At 40.2% G+C, this 19,083-nt stretch overlaps 1 protein-coding gene and 1 non-coding gene across 15 annotated transcripts in view; both read left to right on the top strand.

The window, feature by feature from the left end:
* ELMO1 (engulfment and cell motility 1) overlaps positions 1-19,083 on the top strand; it is a 596,421-nt gene that overhangs the window by 274,785 nt on the left and 302,553 nt on the right. The gene's annotated exons all lie outside the window — the stretch shown is intronic.
* LOC124901833 (small nucleolar RNA U13) lies at positions 4,763-4,864 on the top strand. The gene has a single exon (XR_007060669.1). It is a non-coding gene; the product is annotated as a small nucleolar RNA U13 (small nucleolar RNA).

Raw genomic sequence — 19,083 nt, 5'->3', positions numbered from 1 at the left:
CGATACAGATGGCTGATGAGTTCTGAAGCTTCATGCTGATGTGTCCAGGAGCCCAGGGGCAAACTGACCCTTTCCTCTTTAGGCACAATGCCTGCGTCGGCTGTTTAGAAATCATCAGAAAACATTTTAATCTTAGGGGGCTCGATTTTTGGTGATTAAACTAGACCCCTAAATAGAGTTCTCTAAACCCCAAACACAATGAACAGAGATTCATAGTGAAGTAGGTTTGCCTCCGTGAATGAGTGTTGCAGTGAATCTCGTCCTTTTCTTGGCTTTGGTGTTGTGTAGTGATTAACAAAAACGTGAGATGACCGCTGGGCATCTTTATAGGAAAAAGGAAGTGGGAGGGTATTAAGCATAGAATGGATGCTCTCATTTGCTTGAGATGTGTAAAATAAGTTGGGGTAGAATGGGGAAGGGCAGAAGACTAAAGATTTAAGCCCCCCAGTCATGGTTTCATTTAATACGTTAAGGAATTTGATGAGGTAATTGGGCAGATTCAAGGCAAAGAGAGAGCAGGGCTGAGTATCAGTGATCTTCAGATAATCACTAAGGTATTATTCAGGACACAAGCCAGATGACGTTAGCTTCACCAGAAGATGGGCTGATGTGGCCATGGATTCAGTTAGTAATTCTTGGAATTGCTGGGGCTTGGGGCAGCCACCACCATGTGGTTTATCTTTGTCTAACCTCACTAAAGCCAGCCGAGCAGACACTGTCTGTTTGGGGCTTTCAGGTTTGGGGTGGTGGTTCTCAGTAGAGGCTGAAGAGGAAAGAGAGACCTTTTAAAAAGAAAATATTTCTTTTCTCTTCTCTATATAAGTTTTGAGCTTAACAGGCTTTGATCAAGAAGAATTTCACCTTGGGTTTCTGTTTTGAGTTACATCTCCTCAAGACGCTGCCATGGGGCTGGAGGAGAAGGTCAGAGAGAGGGAAAACTTGGACTGTGCTGAAACCCCTTTAGGCTCACTTATTTAGTTATTCACTCAGAAACAGCAGCATGGACTAGGAGCTATCTGTGCTTTTGCAATGTAGCTTCACTACTTAATTTGAAATAAATTCCCTTATAATAGGTCCAATGTATAATCCGAGGCAGATTTGAAATAACATTCAAAGAGTTTTTGGCCATCTACTCCATTGCTTCCTTCCATCAGTGGGGATCTCTGTGACGTGGCTTGTACTCCCTCAATGGTCCTTTTTCTTGGAACCTCACATGGTCACTTTGGGCCAGAAGATGGTATAGCATGAATAAGAAGAGGTGGCCTGCAGTCCTAGGTGCTGGTCCATACTGGCCAGGACAGAGAATACAGGATATCACATAGTCTCTAAATACAATTTCAAAGAGTGCATCTCTAGAGTTAAGTGAGTTTGCCTTAAATTCTGTGCAGTTGCAGATGATGTAATCCATTTATAAACATTTTATTAGGCAGATTAAATTAAGATACAGGAAATGCTATTTCACATTTCGTTGAAGAGGAAAGTCAAGTCTTGTGAACGTTGTTTACTATAACAGAAGGTTCTTACATATCCATCTCAACTCAATTTTCTTATTGTTTCAGGATCCGAGTTCCCTGCTGACTTCTACTCCTTGCACAGTAAAAAGTCAATCTGCTAGGAGCTTGCTGAGATGAGTAAGAGCCGTCTGCTAGTTAAGGGAAATTTGGACTCAATGAAAATAGTCAATGGAAACCTCTGTTTGCTGTATCAAGCATGCAGTACTTATACCCGTACATGGAACAAATTTTTTTTTAGCTTCAATGTTGTAAGGAAGATAGCAATTTTCCTTCTCAGCGTAACATATAAATGTACTACTTGGAAATCGAGTAGTTGGCTTGAGTTCTAGTTCTGGTATTGTCGGCAATGTACTCGCCTAAGACAAGCCCTTTGACCACTATCTATAGACTCTAATATCCTAATCAAGGTTATTAGTACCTTCTGATAGTAGCTTAGCTCCTCCATTTACAGCAAATCTTACTTTTTCTGCATTCAGCTGATGAAGTCTATGAAAGAATAGCAGGAATAATAAGCTAGTTTTGGTGTTTTGGCCTTTTGGATAGGAATGCAGGGAGGAAATGAAATGAAGGATGTCTTGAAATGTCTCACTTAGACTTTCTTATGTTCAGAGAAATACAGAGAGAACATTTCCTAGATATTGAGGGTAAATTTCTCTTCTTGAACTATCTTAAGTGCCTCAGAAGAGGACTTCAGTTTGAGATGACTTTTTTTTTTTTTTAATGTAAGCACAGACAATTCTCTCTCCACCCTCAACCCTTTACACAATTTCTGAGAACAGCGATTTTCAACGAAGGGGAGGAACAGAAATGAAGTTGACAAGAGAAGCCATCTAAAATTAAAACTCTCCATATGGAATTGCTTTTTCTTTTCCTCCAGAGAGTGTACTCACTCTAAGTCAGCTCTGTCTTTGAACATTTTCTTACAGGATAGTCATTGGAGGCTCTGATAACTCCTAGCTTCTATTATTGTCCAGCTTGTATCTTTTAAATGTCAAAACTATGTTCTTCCAAATGACAAATTTTTATTTTTAAAATATTTTTACTAACTTTACTTGTATGTTGAACAGATAATAGTACAAAATTCAAAAACAAAAGACCCAACTTGGTGAATTTTGTTGATTTTTAGTCTTTGGATTGAATCTGATGGTGTTTAGAAGTTGATGGGGTATAAGTAGCTCTCTAAGCTAGATCCTTTATTGCTTCCCATCAGTCTAAAATGTATTAGAAGAGAAAGGCGGCCAGGCGTGGTGGCTCACGCCTGTAATCCCAGCACTTTGGGAGGCCGAGGTGGGCAGATCACGAGGTCAGGAGATCGAGACCATCCTGGCTAACATGGTGAAACCCCGTCTCCACTAAAAATACAAAAAATTAGCTGGGCATGGTGGTGGGCGCCTGTAGACCCAGCTACTCGGGATGCTGAGGCAGGAGAATGGCATGAATCTGGGAGGCTCAGCTTGCAGTGAGCCGAGATTGTGCCACTGCACTCCAGCCTGGGTGACAGAGCGAGACTCTGTCTCAAAAAAAAAAAAAAAAAAAAAAAAAAATAGAAAGGCCTGGTTACAAGAATAAACTAATGGATAATTTTTAGCTAATAGCAAGTTTACCTAGAAATCAGATATTTAAATACTGCTGCTGTATCTATATTTTTATGTCCATATTTTATTGCCCATGACGCCACTGATTGGTAGATACACATTTTATGTACAACTGAGAAAAAGAAACCTAGCCAGTTAAACTATTTCCCAGCACCTCCTGTTATTTAAATGATCTCTTAGGAAGGAATTGAGTGTATCTAATATATTTTTAAAATATATTTATTGAAAGAACTCTTCTGGACTTAACGATATATAGGCATTTATCATTTAACAGTCTTATAAACATATAAAAAATACAAGAAAAATACATCAGGTAAGTTTTACTCCTGAAACTTCTGTACAAGAAAGTTTAAGTCTTCTGAATCACTTTCAACTCAAGACTTCAGTGTCTCTATTTTGCCACGCAATTTGCCCTTTGTGCTATAAAGAATATTGGTGAAATAGTTTTAAAAGAATTTTTTTGTTTATTTTGCATTAACATCTTCTACAAAGTTTCTGGGAAAAATAAATTTATAAAATGAAAGTTCAGCCAGGCATGGTGCCCACACCTGTAATCCCAGCACTTTGGCAGGCCAAGGTGGGTAGATCACTTGAGGCCATGAGTTTGAGACTAGTCTGTCCAACATGTTGAAACCCCGTCTCTACTAAAAATATAAAAATTAGCCCAGCAAGGTGGCACATGCCTGTAATCCCAGCTACTTGCGAGGCTGAGGCACAAGAATCGCTTGAACCTGGGAGGCAGAGACAGTGAGCTGAGACAGCGCTGCTGTACTCCTGCCTGGGTGACAGAGTGAGACTCTGACAAAAAAAAAAAAAAGCAAGCAAGGAAGGAGAAAGAGAGAGAGAAAGAAAAAGAAAAACAAAGAAGGAAATAAAAGAGTAAGTTAGTTCACTAATGCTGAGTTCTTAAGCTGTTTACCACTGCAATTTTGTCATGTTAACACAATTCTGACTGTTGCTGGGCTGGAAATGTAGAGGAACAGATCCCAGCACTTCCAACCACCATTTGGTGCCTAGGGTTAGTAACTGCTCTGGTATATCTCAGGGTTTTCATTACAGTTGCTGAGACCCATTCTGCTAATTCAATTCAATGCTGAATTTTTAAATATTCACACATGAAAATTGCTTTGCGACTGCTGTCCATCTGACTGCAATTGAAAGATGCCATTCATTGTGAAATTCTACCCAAATTTAGAATTGGAAATAGACGAAAAGAAATGTGCATCTGCGCCAGGCGCGGTGGCTCACGCCTGTAATCCCAGCACTTTGGGAGGCCGAGGTGAGTGGATCACCTGAGGTCAGGAGTTTGAGACCAGCCTGGCCAACATGGTGAAACCCTGTCTTTACTAAAAATACAAAAAAAATTAGCTGGGCATGGTGGCGTGTGCTTATAATCGCAGCTACTCGGGAGGCTGAGGCGGGAGAATCGCTTGAACCCAGGAGGTGGAGGTTGCAGTGAGCAGAGATCCTGCCATTGCACTCCAGCCTGGGTGACAAGAGTGAGACTGTCTCAAAAAAAAAAGAAATGTGCATTTTAGAGTTAATGAAAGATAATGATTAAATATAATTTCTAGAATTTTTAGTGTTTCAGATGAGAATTGTGGACGTTCACTGTGCTCGTAAGCCAAAATGCCAAGTCAAAAGCAAAAGCTCTTCCTGTTGGTTCCTAAGTGTGATGATTGGGTTTTCACATTCATGTGTGACATGTGCCTCCCTCAAATCTTGTGATGATGTCGGCACGTGACCCATCTGACGTGGGAAAAAAAGTGAAAATGTAAAAAGAAAAAGCAAAAGCTTGAAATTTTGAAATGTCTTAATTTCTTAGCGTGATTATCCCCTTCGTTAGAATGCTCGCAAATCTTAACAATACATTTTTTTCAGGACATCTAAAGTGACTCAATTTGAACATTTGAAGTGGCAGGTTAAAAAAATTTTTTCCCAGGGAGGAGCCAAGATGGCCGAATAGGAACAGCTCTGGTCTACAGCTCCCAGCGTGAGCGACGCAGAAGACGGGTGATTTCTGCATTTCCATCTGAGGTACCGGGTTCATCTCACTAGGGAGTGCCAGACAGTGGGCGCAGGTCATTGGGTGCAGTGCACGATGCACGAGCCGAAGCAGGGCGAGGCATTGCCTCACTCGGGAAGTGCAAGGGGTCAGGGAGTTCCCTTTCCTAGTCAAAGAAAGGGGTGACAGACGGCACCTGGAAAATCGGGTCATTCCCACCCGAATACTGCGCTTTTCCAACAGGCTTAAAAAACGGCGCACCAGGAGATTATATCCCGCACCTGGCTCGGAGGGTCCTACACCCACGGAGTCTCGCTGATTGCTAGCACAGCAGTCTGAGATCAAACTGCAAGTCGGCAGCGAGGCTGGGGGAGGGGTGCCCGCCATTGCCCAGGCTTGCTTAGGTAAACAAAGCAGCCGGGAAGCTCGAACTGGTTGGAGCCCACCACAGCTCCAGGAGGCCTGCCTGCCTCTGTAGGCTCCACCTCTGGGGACAGGGCACAGACAAACAAAAAGACAGCGGTAACCTCTGCAGACTTAAATGTCCCTGCGTGACAGCTTTCAAGAGAGCAGTGGTTCTCCCAGCACGCAGCTGGAGATCTGAGAATGGGCAGACTGCCTCCTCAAGTGGGTCCCTGACCCCTGAACCCTGAGCAGCCTAACTGGGAGGCACCCCCCAGTAGGGGCAGACTGACACTTCACACGGCAGGGTACTCCTCTGAGACAAAACTTCCAGAGGAACGATTAGACAGCAGCATTCACGGTTCACGAAAAACCGCTGTTCTGCAAACACCGCTGCTGATACCCAGGCAAACAGGGTCTGAAGTGGACCTCTAGCAAACTCCAACAGACCTGCAACTGAGGGTCCTGTCTGTTAGAAGGAAAACTAACAAACAGAAAGGACATCCACACCAAAAACCCATCTGTACATCACCATCATCAAAGACCAAAAGTAGATAAAACCACAAAGATGGGGAAAAAACAGAGCAGAAAAACTGGAAACTCTAAAAAGCAGAGCACCTCTGTCTCCTCCAAAGGAACACAGTTCCTCACCAGCAATGGAACAAAGCTGGACGGAGAATGACTTTGACAAGTTCAGAGAAGAAGGCTTCAGACGATCAAACTATGAGCTACAGGAGGAAATTCAAACCAAAGGCAAAGAAGTTAAAAACTTTGAAAAAAATTTAGACGAATGTATAACTAGAATAACCAATACAGAGAAGTACTTAAAGGAGCTGATGGAGCTGAAAGCCAAGGTTTGAGAACTACGTGAAGAATGCAGAAGCCTCAGGAGCCAATGCGATCAACTGGAAGAAAGGATATCAGTGATGGAAGATGAAATGAATGAAATGAAGCGAGAAGGGAAGTTTAGAGAAAAAAGAATAAAAAGAAATGAACAAAGCCTCCAAGAAATATGGGACTATGTGAAAAGACCAAATCTACGTCTGATTGGTGTACCTGAAAGTGACGGGGAGAATGGAACCAAGTTGGAAAACACTCTACAGGATATTATCCAGGAGAACTTCCCCAATCTAGCAAGGCAGGCCAACATTCAGATTCAGGAAATACAGAGAACGCCACAAAGATACTCCTCGAGAAGAGCAACTCCAAGACACATAATTGTCAGATTCACCAAAGTTGAAATGAAGGAAAAAATGTTAAGGGCAGCCAGAGAGAAACGTCGGGTTACCCACAAAGGGAAGCCCATCAGACTAACAGCTGATCTCTCGGCAGAAACTCTACAAGCCAGAAGAGAGTGGGAGCCAATATTCAACATTCTTAAAGAAAAGAATTTTCAACCCAGAATTTCATATCCAGCCAAACTAAGCTTCATAAGTGAAGGAGAAATAAAATACTTTACAGACAAGCAAATGCTGAGAGATTTTGTCACCACCAGGCCTGCCCTAAAAGAGCTCCTGAAGGAAGCACTAAACATGGAAAGGAACAACCGGTACCAGCCGCTGCAAAATCATGCCAAAATGTAAAGACCATTGAGACTAGGAAGAAACTGCATCAACTAACGAGCAAAATAACCAGCTAACATCATAATGACAGGATCAAATTCACACATAACACTATTAACTTTAAATGTAAATGGACGAAATGCTTCAATTAAATGACACAGATTGGCAAATTGGATAAAGAGTCAAGACCCATCAGTGTGCTGTATTCAGGAAACCCATCTCACATGCAGAGACACACATAGGCTCAAAATAAAGGGATGGAGGAAGATCTACCAAGCAAATGGAAAACAAAAAAAGGCAGGGGTTGGAATCCTAGTCTCTGATAAAACAGACTTTAAAGCAACAAAGATCAAAAGAGAAAAAGAAGGCCATTACATAATGATAAAGGGATCAATTCAACAAGAAGAGCTAACTATCCTAAATATATATGCACCCAATACAGGAGCACCCAGATTCATAAAGCAACTCCTGAGTGACCTACAAAGAGACTTAGACTCCCACACATTAATAATGGGAGACTTTAACACCCCACTGTCAACATTAGACAGATCGACGAGATAGAAAGTTAACAAGGATATCCAGGAATTGAACTCAGCTCTCCACCAAGCAGACCTAATAGACATCTACAGAACTCTCCTCCCCAAATCAATAGAATATACATTTTTTTCAGCACCACACCACACCTATTCCAAAATTGACCACATAGTTGGAAGTAAAGCTCTCCTCATCAAATGTAAAAGAGCAGAAATTATAAGAAACTATCTCTCAGACCACAGTGCAATCAAACTAGAACTCAGGATTAAGAAACTCACTCAAAAACGCTCAACTACATGGAAACTGAACAACCTGCTCCTGAATGACTACTGGGTACATAACGAAATGAAGGCAAAAATAAAGATGTTCTTTGAAACCAACCAGAACAAAGACACAACATACCAGAATCTCTGGGACACATTCAAAGCAGTGTTTAGAGGGAAATTTATAGCACTAAATGTCCACAAGAGAAAGCAGGAAAGATCCAAAATTGACACCCTAACATCACAATTAAAAGAACTAGAAAAGCAAGAGCAAACACATTCAAAAGCTAGCAGAAGGCAAGAAATAACTAAAATCAGAGCAGAACTGAAGGAAATAGAGACACAAAAAACGCTTCAAAAATTAATGAATCCAGGAGCTGCTTTTTTGAAAGGATCAACAAAGTTGATTGACCGCTAGCAAGACTAATAAAGAAAAAAAGAGAGAAGAATCAAATAGACGCAATAAAAAATGATAAAGGGGATATCACCACCAATCCCACAGAAATACAAACTACCATCAGAGATTACTACAAACACCTCTATGCAGATAATCTAGAAAATCTAGAAGAAATGGATAAATTCCTCGACACATACACTCTCCCAAGACTAAACCAGGAAGAAGTTGAATCTCTGAATAGACCAATAACAGGAGCTGAAATTGTGGCAATAATTAATAGCTTGGCCAACCAAAAAGAGTCCAGGACCAGATGGATTCACAGCCGAATTCTCCCAGAGGTACAAGGAGGAACTGGTACCATTCCTTCTGAAACTATTCCAATCAATATAAAAAGAGGGAATCCTCCCTAACTCATTTTATGAGGCCAGCATCATCCTGATACCAAAGCCGGGCAGAGACAGAACCAAAAAAGAGAATTTTAAACCAATATCCTTGATGAACATTGATGCAAAAATCCTCAATAAAATACTGGTAAACCGAATCCAGCAGCACATCAAAAAGCTTATCCACCAAGATCAAGTGGGCTTCATCCCTGGGATGTGAGGCTGGTTCAATATACGCAAATCAATAAATGTAATCCAGCATATAAACAGAACCAAAGACAAAAACCACATGATTATCTCAATAGATGCAGAAAAGGCCTTTGACAAAATTCAACAGCCCTTCATGCTAAGAACTCTCAATAAATTAGGTATTGATGGGACATATCTCAAAATAATAAGAGCTATTTATGACAAACCCACAGCCAATATCATACTGAATGGGCAAAAACTGGAAGCATTCCCTTTGAAAACTGGCACAAGACAGGGATGCCCTCTCTCACCACTGCTATTCAACATAGTGTTGGAAGTTCTGGCCAGGGCAATCAGGCAGGAGAAGGAAATAAAGGTTATTCAATTAGGAAAAGAGGAAGTCAAATTGTCCCTGTTTGCAGATGACATGATTGAATATCTAGAAAACCCCATTGTTTCAGCCCAAAATCTCCTTAAGCTGATAAGCAACTTCAGCAGAGTCTCACGATACAAAATCAATGTGCAAAAATCACAAGCATTCTTGTATACCAATAACAGACGAACAGAGAGCCAAATCATGAGTGAACTCCTATTCACAATTGCTTCAAAGAGAATAAAATACCTAAGAATCCACCTTACAAGGGATGTGAAGGACCTCTTCAAGGAGAACTACAAAGCACTGCTCAATGAAATAAAAGGATACAAACAAATGGAAGAACATTCCATGCTCATGGGTAGGAAGAATCAATATTGTGAAAATGGCCATACTGCCCAAGGTAATTTATAGATTCAATGCCATCCCCATCAAGCTACCAATGACTTTCTTCACAGAATTGGAAAAAACTACTTTAAAGTTCATATGGAACCAAAAAAGAGCCCGCATTGCCAAGTCAATCCTGAGCCAAAAGAACAAAGCTGGAGGCATCACACTACCTGACTTCAAACTATACTACAAGGCTACAGTAACCAAAACAGCATGGTACTGGTACCAAAACAGAGATATAGATCAATGGAACAGAACAGAGCCCTCAGAAATAATGCCACATATCTACAACTATCTGATCTTTGACAAACCTGAGAAAAACAAGAAATAGGGAAAGGATTCCCTATTTAACAAATGGTGCTGGGAAAACTGGCTAGCCATATGTAGAAAGCTGAAACTGGATCCCTTCCTTACACCTTGTACAAAAATCAATTCAAGATGGATTAAAGATTTAAATGTTAGACCTAAAACCATAAAAACCCTAGAAGAAAACCTAGGCATTACTATTCAGGACATAGGCATGGGCAAGGACTTCATGTCTAAAACACCAAAAGCAATGGCAACAAAAGCCAAAATTGACAAATGGGATCTAATTAAACTAAAGAGCTTCTGCACAGCAAAAGAAACTACCATCAGAGTGAACAGGCAACCCACAAAATGGGAGAAAATTTTCACAACCTACTTATCTGACAAAGGGCTAATATCCAGAATCTACAATGAACTCAAACAAATTTACAAGAAATAACAAACAACCCCATGAAAAAGTGGGCAAAGGATATGAACAGACACTTCTCAAAAGAAGACATTTATGCAGCCAAAAGACTGATGAAAAAATGCTCATCATCACTGGCCATCAGAGAAATGCAAATCAAAACCGCAATGGGATATTATCTCACACCAGTTAGAATGGCAATCATTAAAAAGTCAGGAAACAACAAGTGCTGGAGAGTATGTGGAGAAATAGGAACACTATTACACTGTTGGTGGGACTGTAAACTAGTTCAACCAATGTGGAAGTCAGTGTGGCGATTCTTCAGGGATCTAGAACTAGAAATACCATTTAACCCAGCCATCCCATTACTGGGTATATACCCAAAGGACTATAAGTCATGCTGCTATAAAGACACATGCACACGTATGTTTATTGCGGCACTATTCACAATAGCAAAGACTTGGAACCAACCCAAATGTCCAACAATGATAGACTGGATTAAGAAAACGTGGCACATATACACCATGGAATACTATGCAGCCATAAAATGAGTTCATGTCCTTTGTAGGGACATGGATGAAATTGGAAATCATCATTCTCAGTAAACTATCGCAAGAACAAAAAACCAAACACCGCATATTCTCACTCATAGGTGGGAATTGAACAATGAGATCAATGGACACAGGAAGGGGAACATCACGCTCTGGGGACTGTTGTGGGGTTGGGGGATGGGGGAGGGATAGCATTGGGAGATATACCTAATGCTAGATGACGAGTTAGTGGGTGCAGCACACCAGCATGGCACATGTATACATATGTAACTAACCTGCACATTGTGCACATGTACCCTAAAACTTAAAGTATAATAATAAAAAAAAAAAAAAAGAACACTGGCTTATACCCTATAATACCTGATATTTAATAATAAAAAGAATTACAGGAGAGAAAAGTCTCTACACACAAACACACACAAAAATTTTCCCATAATAACTCAAACATTTGTTTTACTGTAAGAAATTCAGAGGTCTGATTTAAGGATGACCTTCTAATTGAAAAGAGGAAAAGCAATGGAAAGATATCTGTATTTGTAACTGAAACTGGCTCAAATCATAGCTGTATTCTCCTTTCTTTGAAATGTGTAGAATTATAGCCAATGGGTTAAGAAAAATTATTTAAAACTTGAAAATAAGGCAACCAAGTAGAGCAGCATATCCTTTCAATGTCATATTGGAACATTTTTAAAATAAATAAACCTGAACAAGGATTATTTATTCAGGAGAACTTCTTTAACTTTTGTTTTTTACTCTTAATTAGAGTCTAGACACTGGGAAGTTGTGTGTTAGTGTTTAGATTTTTGGCAGTAGATGTCTAGTGGAAAAAAGAACCCTATGTGTTACACATTTTAGGACATTAACCAGCTTTGCATGTAACCTAGCAATTTTATACTAAAATTTTCAAAGGCTAGAAACACCTTCTCCATCAGCTCTCTTTGGATCAGCCTTATTTTTTTGCCGGTTTCTTCATTATTGAGTTGAGTAAATCTTGACATATATTTATTCTGTATTTTTACAAGTCCTGTTTTCAACTTTAAAAAATTTTTTCACTTTGTCAAGATTCAAACGTCTCAAGTGAAATAGTTACTACTTGTCATTATGGTATATATTTGTAGGTTGACAAGTGCTCCTGGTGGTAGTTCATAGTGATCTGCAGAGATGAAAATGCATGTTTACGACGTTTAAAAGTAGATTGCTGAGCCTGTGCATGACTTAGACTTCATCAAGTGACTCGGATGTGATTAGCAAATGATTCTACTTGTGTGGATGGAAGAGTTTCAGGGGCCAGAGCTGGCCTTGTGCAAGGAATCTAGCCAGAACATTTCAGAAGAGCCTAGGGATGCAGTGGTGCCCCACGAGGCAGCTGTTCATCTTTGCCCCTCCAGCACCTGGTGTGGGGTTTTTTAAGCTCTCAACCATGTGTGTGGTAGTTTCCTGGAGTTACCATCCTTGTCCTTCAGGGGATTTGAGGATTTGAGCCTCTTTTTGCAGAGGCTCCAGAAACGCAAGGTTGGGTCTTCAGAATGATCTCTAGGAAGGAATTGAGTGTATCAGACATTAAATTTACTTAGTTCCAGTTTACCCCCACCGTGCACTTTTTCTTATCTCTCTCCCTCTTCCATTAATCCCATTTTTCTCCCTCCTTTCCTTCCCTCCTCCCCTTTTTTTTTGTGTTGACCTATTTACAAACTCACCTCACTTGAGATGATGTGGAAGATTACATCACGCTTAACATATATATATATATATATATATATATATATTTGATTACCTGAAGGCTTTCTATAATGCCTTAGTGGAAGCCTTTATGGTAAATGCCAATCAATGAAACACAGGGAGTAGAAGTTTCCTGTGTATTTGAATGTTGCATTGATCACCTTATCTAGTGTACCTAGCCATTTTCTTAAGGTAGTAATTAAAGTGTTTCATACTTGAAGTGGTTTAGGGTCATGAGTTTTGAATTGACAGAATACTCAAAGTACAGTGCTGTATTTTCTTATGTAGCTCATGTAGGTCAGCACTCAAAAGTCAGGTAAGATGTTGCTGAAAGTATAAATGAGTGGAAAACAAGAAAGGCTGTTAAATTCTTTGCCAGAGAAATCTTCATAAATAGAACAAGTGACCATCCGGGTGGGAGACTGAAAATGTCTGTTCCTGAATTCACTGAGATAGAGAGGTAGAATATCCCCACAATATTTTGGGGGACTTTTGCTTCTTTAATTCATTGTCTGATTATGTTGATAAAACCCCGGGGATGGAGATATGTACAGTTCAACAGTCTCAGGAAGGAGGCCCCTTAAGTACAATGTTTAGGGGATTCAAGATAAGTGTGGGCTCAGAATGGTGTCAGGAATCAGAACCCTGGAGCCAGTGAGAAAGCCAGACTTCACATGAATGACATCTGAAGTCTAGTAAGAGCTCAAGGTCAGTTGATGTCTTGAGGGGAGCCAGGCATGGTGTAAGAACCAGGATTTCTTCAAGAGGGAACTTTAGAAGAATGTAGTGGAGAATGCTGACGCCACTCCAGACTGAAAGCTCATAGTCGACAGCTGCCTCCTCACAAGAGCCCACCTGGTTCTGGGTCCTGTTCACAGCATTTTCTGGGCATCATGTCATTTAACCCTCACAGCAGGCCAGTGAGAGAGTAATACTATTACTTTCCAGTGTTGTAGGGGAAGAAGTGGCCTTAGAGAGGTGAACTTTCCTTCTAAGAGTATCAACTGATATTGAAGCTTGCATTGGAACCCAGGTTGGTCTCTCTCCACCTCTGTGCTGCCAGTCGTGACCCTGTGCTGCCCCCTATGTCTGCTCCTCCCACCTGTTGCAAGTAGCCAGCCTCTTACCTGATGAAGACCATCAGGCCTGAAGGTCCAGGCTCTTTGGCTCCTGCAGAAAGCCCAATTGGGGTGGGACATCTGGTCATGCAGAAGCCACGTGACTGGTGGGCACAGGACTCCCAGGCACCTGTTCTCTCAAGGGTGGGCTCTTCTGGGGACATTTGGGGGCTACTTATGATTCTTTTGAGCTGTCCTTTGACTTATTCCTTCCAACCTCCAACATAAAGGGCCACTCAGAGAAGCAGTACCTATGGCAGCTTTAAACCGCCCTGCTCCTCTGCTGTTCTGTCTGACAGCATGAGAAGCCAGCAAAAGCTTCTTCACATCAGGGTGCCAGTGGGGAAACAGGAAGGAAAAGGGGGAATAAGAAGGAAAAGCATGCTATTTTCTACACAGGGGAGGATTTCATACCAATGTGTTCAGAATGGTTTTACAAAGACTGTGCATATATGCTCCAGGTCTGTTCAGGAAAGATTCATTTGTGGAGGATTGAAATGTTCCTATTAATATTTCTTAGAGAAACAGAGGCATCTACTGAATTTCACAAAATGTAATATGAAAACTGATCTCCAAGGGTCAGCTTTAATATTTTACTTCCTTCTTCATTGTTGAAAATATATTTCAGCTCTCTTTTACATACCAGCATACAGCACAGGGAGAAGATAGCATAATCACTGTGAAAGTATTATCAAATGCAAGCACGCATTTGCATTTTTGGCAAACAACCACTTTTGATTTTACATTGTATTGTTCCATAATATTTAAAGCACAAAGTCCTGAAATTATCAAACCTACTTGAGTTTGCGATAGTCAGATACTAGTTTCATTGTGCTTTTAATTAATAAAATGTGGATTGTCTAAATTAAAATTTTCATTATGAAATATTTTGGCCATAAGGGAAAAAACAGAATTAAATGGTATTCATGTATGTGCCTACCACTCAGATTTTACAGATACTAACTTTGTGCTGTATTTTCTTCAAACGTGACTTTATGTTGTGACTATTAATAAAATAGCACATTACAGGTGTAGTTGTTGTACAGCCCCGTTCACGTCCTCTCTTCCTCCCTTTCTCCTTTCATGAGGCTGATGTATATTAGTCCCCTGAATTATTATTATTATTATTATTTTTTGAGACAGAGTCTCGCTGTGTCACCCTGGCCGGAGTGCAGTGCCATGATCTTGGCTCACAGCAACCTCTGCCTCCTGGTTCAAGTGATTCTCTTGCCTCAGCCTCCCCAGTAGCTGGGACTATAGGTGCACACCACCACGCCTGGCTAATTTTTGTATTTTAGTAGAGACGGAGTTTTGCCATGTTGGCCAGGCTGGTCTTGAACTCCTGACCTCAGGTGATCCACCCACCTCGGCCTCCCAAAGTGCTGGAATTACAGGCATGAGCCACCGTGCCCAGCCCCCTGAAAGTTTTTATGCTTTGACAACATGGTTGTGAAAATACTAAGTGAAATTTTCTTTAGAGCTGTATTTTGAAGTAACATTATCAATTTAGAGCCATAAGCCTATTCTTTTATTATTATACTTTAAGTTGTAGGGTACATGTGCACAATGTGCAGGTTTGCTACATAGGTATACATGTACCATGTTTGTTTGCTGCACCCATCAACTTGTCATTTACATTAGGTATTTCTCCTAATGCTATCCTCCGCCAGCCCCCCTACCCACGACAGCCCCAGTGTGTGATGTTCCCCTCCCTGTGTGCATGTGTTCTCATTGTTCAACTCCCACTTATGCGTGGGAACATGTGGTGTTAGGTTTTCTGTCCTTGTGATAATTTTGCTGAGAATGATGGTTTCCAGCTTCATCCATGTCCCTGCAAAGCACATGAACTCATCCTTTTTTATGGCTGCATAATATTCCTTGGTGTATACGTGCCACATTTTCATTATCCAGTCTATTATTGATGGATATTTGGGTTGGTTCCAAGTCTTGCTATTGCGAATAGTGCCACAATAAACATACATGTGCATGGGTCTTTATAGCAGCATGATTTATAATCCTTTGGGTATATACCCAGTAATGGGATGGCTGGGTCAAATGGTATTTCTAGTTCTAGATTCTTGAGGAATCGCCACACTGTCTTCCACAATGGTTGAACCAGTTTACAGTCTCACCAACAGTGTAAAAGTGTTCCTATTTCTCCACATCCTCTCCAGCACCTGTTGTTTCCTGACTTTTTAATGATCGCCATTCTAACTGGTGTGAGATGGTATCTCATTGTGGTTTTGATTTGCATTTCTCTGATGGTCAGTGATGATGAGCATATTTTCATATGGCTGTTGGCTGCATAAATGTCTTCTTTTGAGAAGTGTCCATTTATATCCTTTGCCCATTTTTTGATGGGGTTGTTTTTTTCTTATAAATTTGTTTAAGTACTTTGTCAATTCTGGATATTAGTCCTTTGTCAGATGGATAGATTGCAAAATTTTTCTCCCATTCTGTAGATTGCCTGTTCACTCTGATGATAGTTACTTTGGCTGTGCAGAAGCTCTTTAGTTTAATTAGATCCCATTTGTCTATTTCGGCTTTTGTTGCCATTGCTTTTGGTGTTTTTAGTCATGAAGTCTTTGCCAATGCCTATGTCCTGAATGGTATTGCCTAAGTTTTCTTGTAGGGTTTGTATGGTGTTAGGTCTTACATTTAAGTCTTTAATCCATCTTGAGTTAATTTTTGTATAAGGTGTAAGGAAGGGAATCCAGTTTCAGCTTTCTACATATGGCTAGCCAGTTTTCCCAGCACCATTTATTAAATAGGGAATCCTTTCCCTATTTCTTGTTTTTGTCAGGTTTGTCAAAGATCAGATGGTTGTAGATGTGTGGTGTTATTTCTGAGGGCTCTGTTCTGTTCCATTGGTCTATATCTCTGTTTTGGTACCAGTACCATGCTGTTTTGGTTACTGTAGCCTTATAGTATAGTTTGAAGTCTGGTAGTGTGATGCCTCCAGCTTTGTTCTTTTGGCTTAGGATTGACTTGGCCATGCAGGCTCTTTTTTGGTTCCATATGAACTTTAAAGTAGTTTTTTCCAATTCTGTGAAGAAAGTCATTGGTAGCTTAATGGGGATGGCATTGAATCTATAAATTACCTTGGGCAGTATGGCCATTTTCACGATATTGATTCTTCCTATCCATGAGCATGGAATGTTCTTCCATTTCTGTCCTCTTTTATTTTGTTGAGCAGTAGTTTGTAGTTCTCCTTGAAGAGTTCCTTCACATCCCTTGTAAGTTGGATTCCTAGGTATTTTATTCTCCTTATAGTAATTTGAATGGGAGTTCACTCATGATTTGGCTCTCTATTCTTGGTACATAGGAATGCTTGTGATTTTTGCACATTGATTTTGTATCCTGAGACTTTGCTGAAGTTGCTTATCAGCTTAAGGAGATTTTTGGGCTGATACGATGGGGTTTTCTAGATATACAATCATGTCATCTGCAAGCAGAGACAATTTGACTTCCTCTTTTCCTAATTGAATAGCCTTTATTTCTTTCTCCTGCCTGATTGCCCTGGCCAGAACTTCCAACACTATGTTGAATAGGAATGGTGAGAGAGGGCATCCTTTTCTTGTGCCAGTTTTCAAAGGGAATGCTTCCAGTTTTTCCCCATTCAGTATGATATTGGCTGTGGATTTGTCATAAATGGCTCTTATTATTTTGAGATACATTCCATCAATACCTATTTTATTGAGAGTTTTTAGCATGAAAGGCTGTTGAATTTTGTCAAAGGCCTTTTCTGCATCTATTGAGATAATCGTGGTTTTTGTCATTGGTTCTGTTTATGTGATGGATTATGTTTATTGATTTGCATATGTTGAACCAGCCTTGCATCCCAGGGATGAAGAAGACTTGCTCGTGGTGGATAAGCTTTTTGATGTGCTGCTCGATTTGGTTTGCCAGTATTTTAATGAGGATTTTCACATTGATGTTTATCAGGGATATTGGCCTAAAATTCTCTTTTTTTGTTTTGTCTCCACCAGGCTTTGGTGTCAGGATGATGCTGGCCTCATAAAATGAGTTAGGGAGGATTCCCTGTTTTTCTATTGATTGGAATAATTTCAGAAAAAATGGTACCAGCTCCTCTTTGTACCTGTGGTAGAATTCGGCTGTAAATCTTTCTGGTCCTGGACTTTTTTTGGTTGGTAGGCTATTACTGCCTAAATTTCAGAACCTGTTATTGTTCTATTCAGAGATTCAACTACTTCCTGGTTTAGTCTTGGGAGGGTGTATGTGTCCACGAATTTATCCATTTCTTCTAGATTTTCTAGTTTATTTGTGTAGAGGTGTTTATAATATTCTCTGATGGTAGTTTGTATTTCTGTGAGATTGGTGGTGATATCCCTTTATCATTTTTTATTGCATCTACTTGATTTTTCACTCTTTTCTTCTTTATTAGTCTTGCTAGTGGTCCATCTATTTTGTTGATCTTTTCAAAAAACCAGCTCCTGGATTCATTGATTTTTTTGAAGGGTTTTTTTGTATCTCTGTCTCCTTCAGTTCTGCTCTGACCTTAGTTATTTGTTGTCTTCTGCTAGCTTTTGAAGTTTTTACTTTTCTCTAGTTCTTTTAATTGTGTTGTTACGGTGTCAATTTTGGATCTTTCCTGCTTTCTCTTGTGGGCATTTAGTGCTATAAATTTCCTTCTACACACTGCTTTAAATGTGTCCCAGAGATTCTGGTACGTTGTGTCTTTGTTCTCACTGGTTTCAAAGAACATCTTTATTTCTACTTTCATTTTGTTATGTACCTAGTAGTCATTCAGGAGCAGGTTGTTCAGTTTCCACGTAGTTGTGCAGTTTTGAGTGAGGTTCTTAATCCTGAGTTCTAATTTGATGGCACTGTGGTGTGAGAGACAGTCTGTTGTAATTTCTGTTCTTTTACATTTGCTGGGGAGTGTTTTACTTCCAATTATGTGGTCAATTGTGGAATAAGTGCGATGTCGTGCTGAGAAGAATGTATATTCTTTTAATTTGGGGCGGAGAGTTCTGTAAATGTCTATTAGGTCTGCTTGGTCCATAGCTGAGTTCAATTCCTGGATATCCGTGTTAATTTTCTGTCTCGTTGATCTGTCTAATATTGACAGTGAGGTGTTAAAGTCTCCCATTATTATTTAGTGGGAGTCTGAGTCTCTTTGTAGGTCTCTAAGAACTTGCTTTATGAATCTGGATGCTCCTGTATTGGGTGCATATATATTTAGGATAGTTAGCTCTTCCTGTTGAATTGATCCCTTTACCATTATGTAATGGCATTCTTTGTCTCTTTTGATCTTTGTTGGTTTAAAGTCTGTTTTATCAGAGACCAGGATTGCAACACCTGCTTTTTTTTTTTTTTTTTTTTTGCTTTCCGTTTGCTTCTTCCTCCATCCCT

The sequence above is a fragment of the Homo sapiens genome, chromosome 7 (genome assembly GCF_000001405.40).
Source record: "Homo sapiens chromosome 7, GRCh38.p14 Primary Assembly".
NCBI lineage: Eukaryota > Metazoa > Chordata > Mammalia > Primates > Hominidae > Homo > Homo sapiens.
Note: the sequence above shows the minus strand (reverse complement) of the source record. Positions and strands in the feature narration are given on the sequence as shown.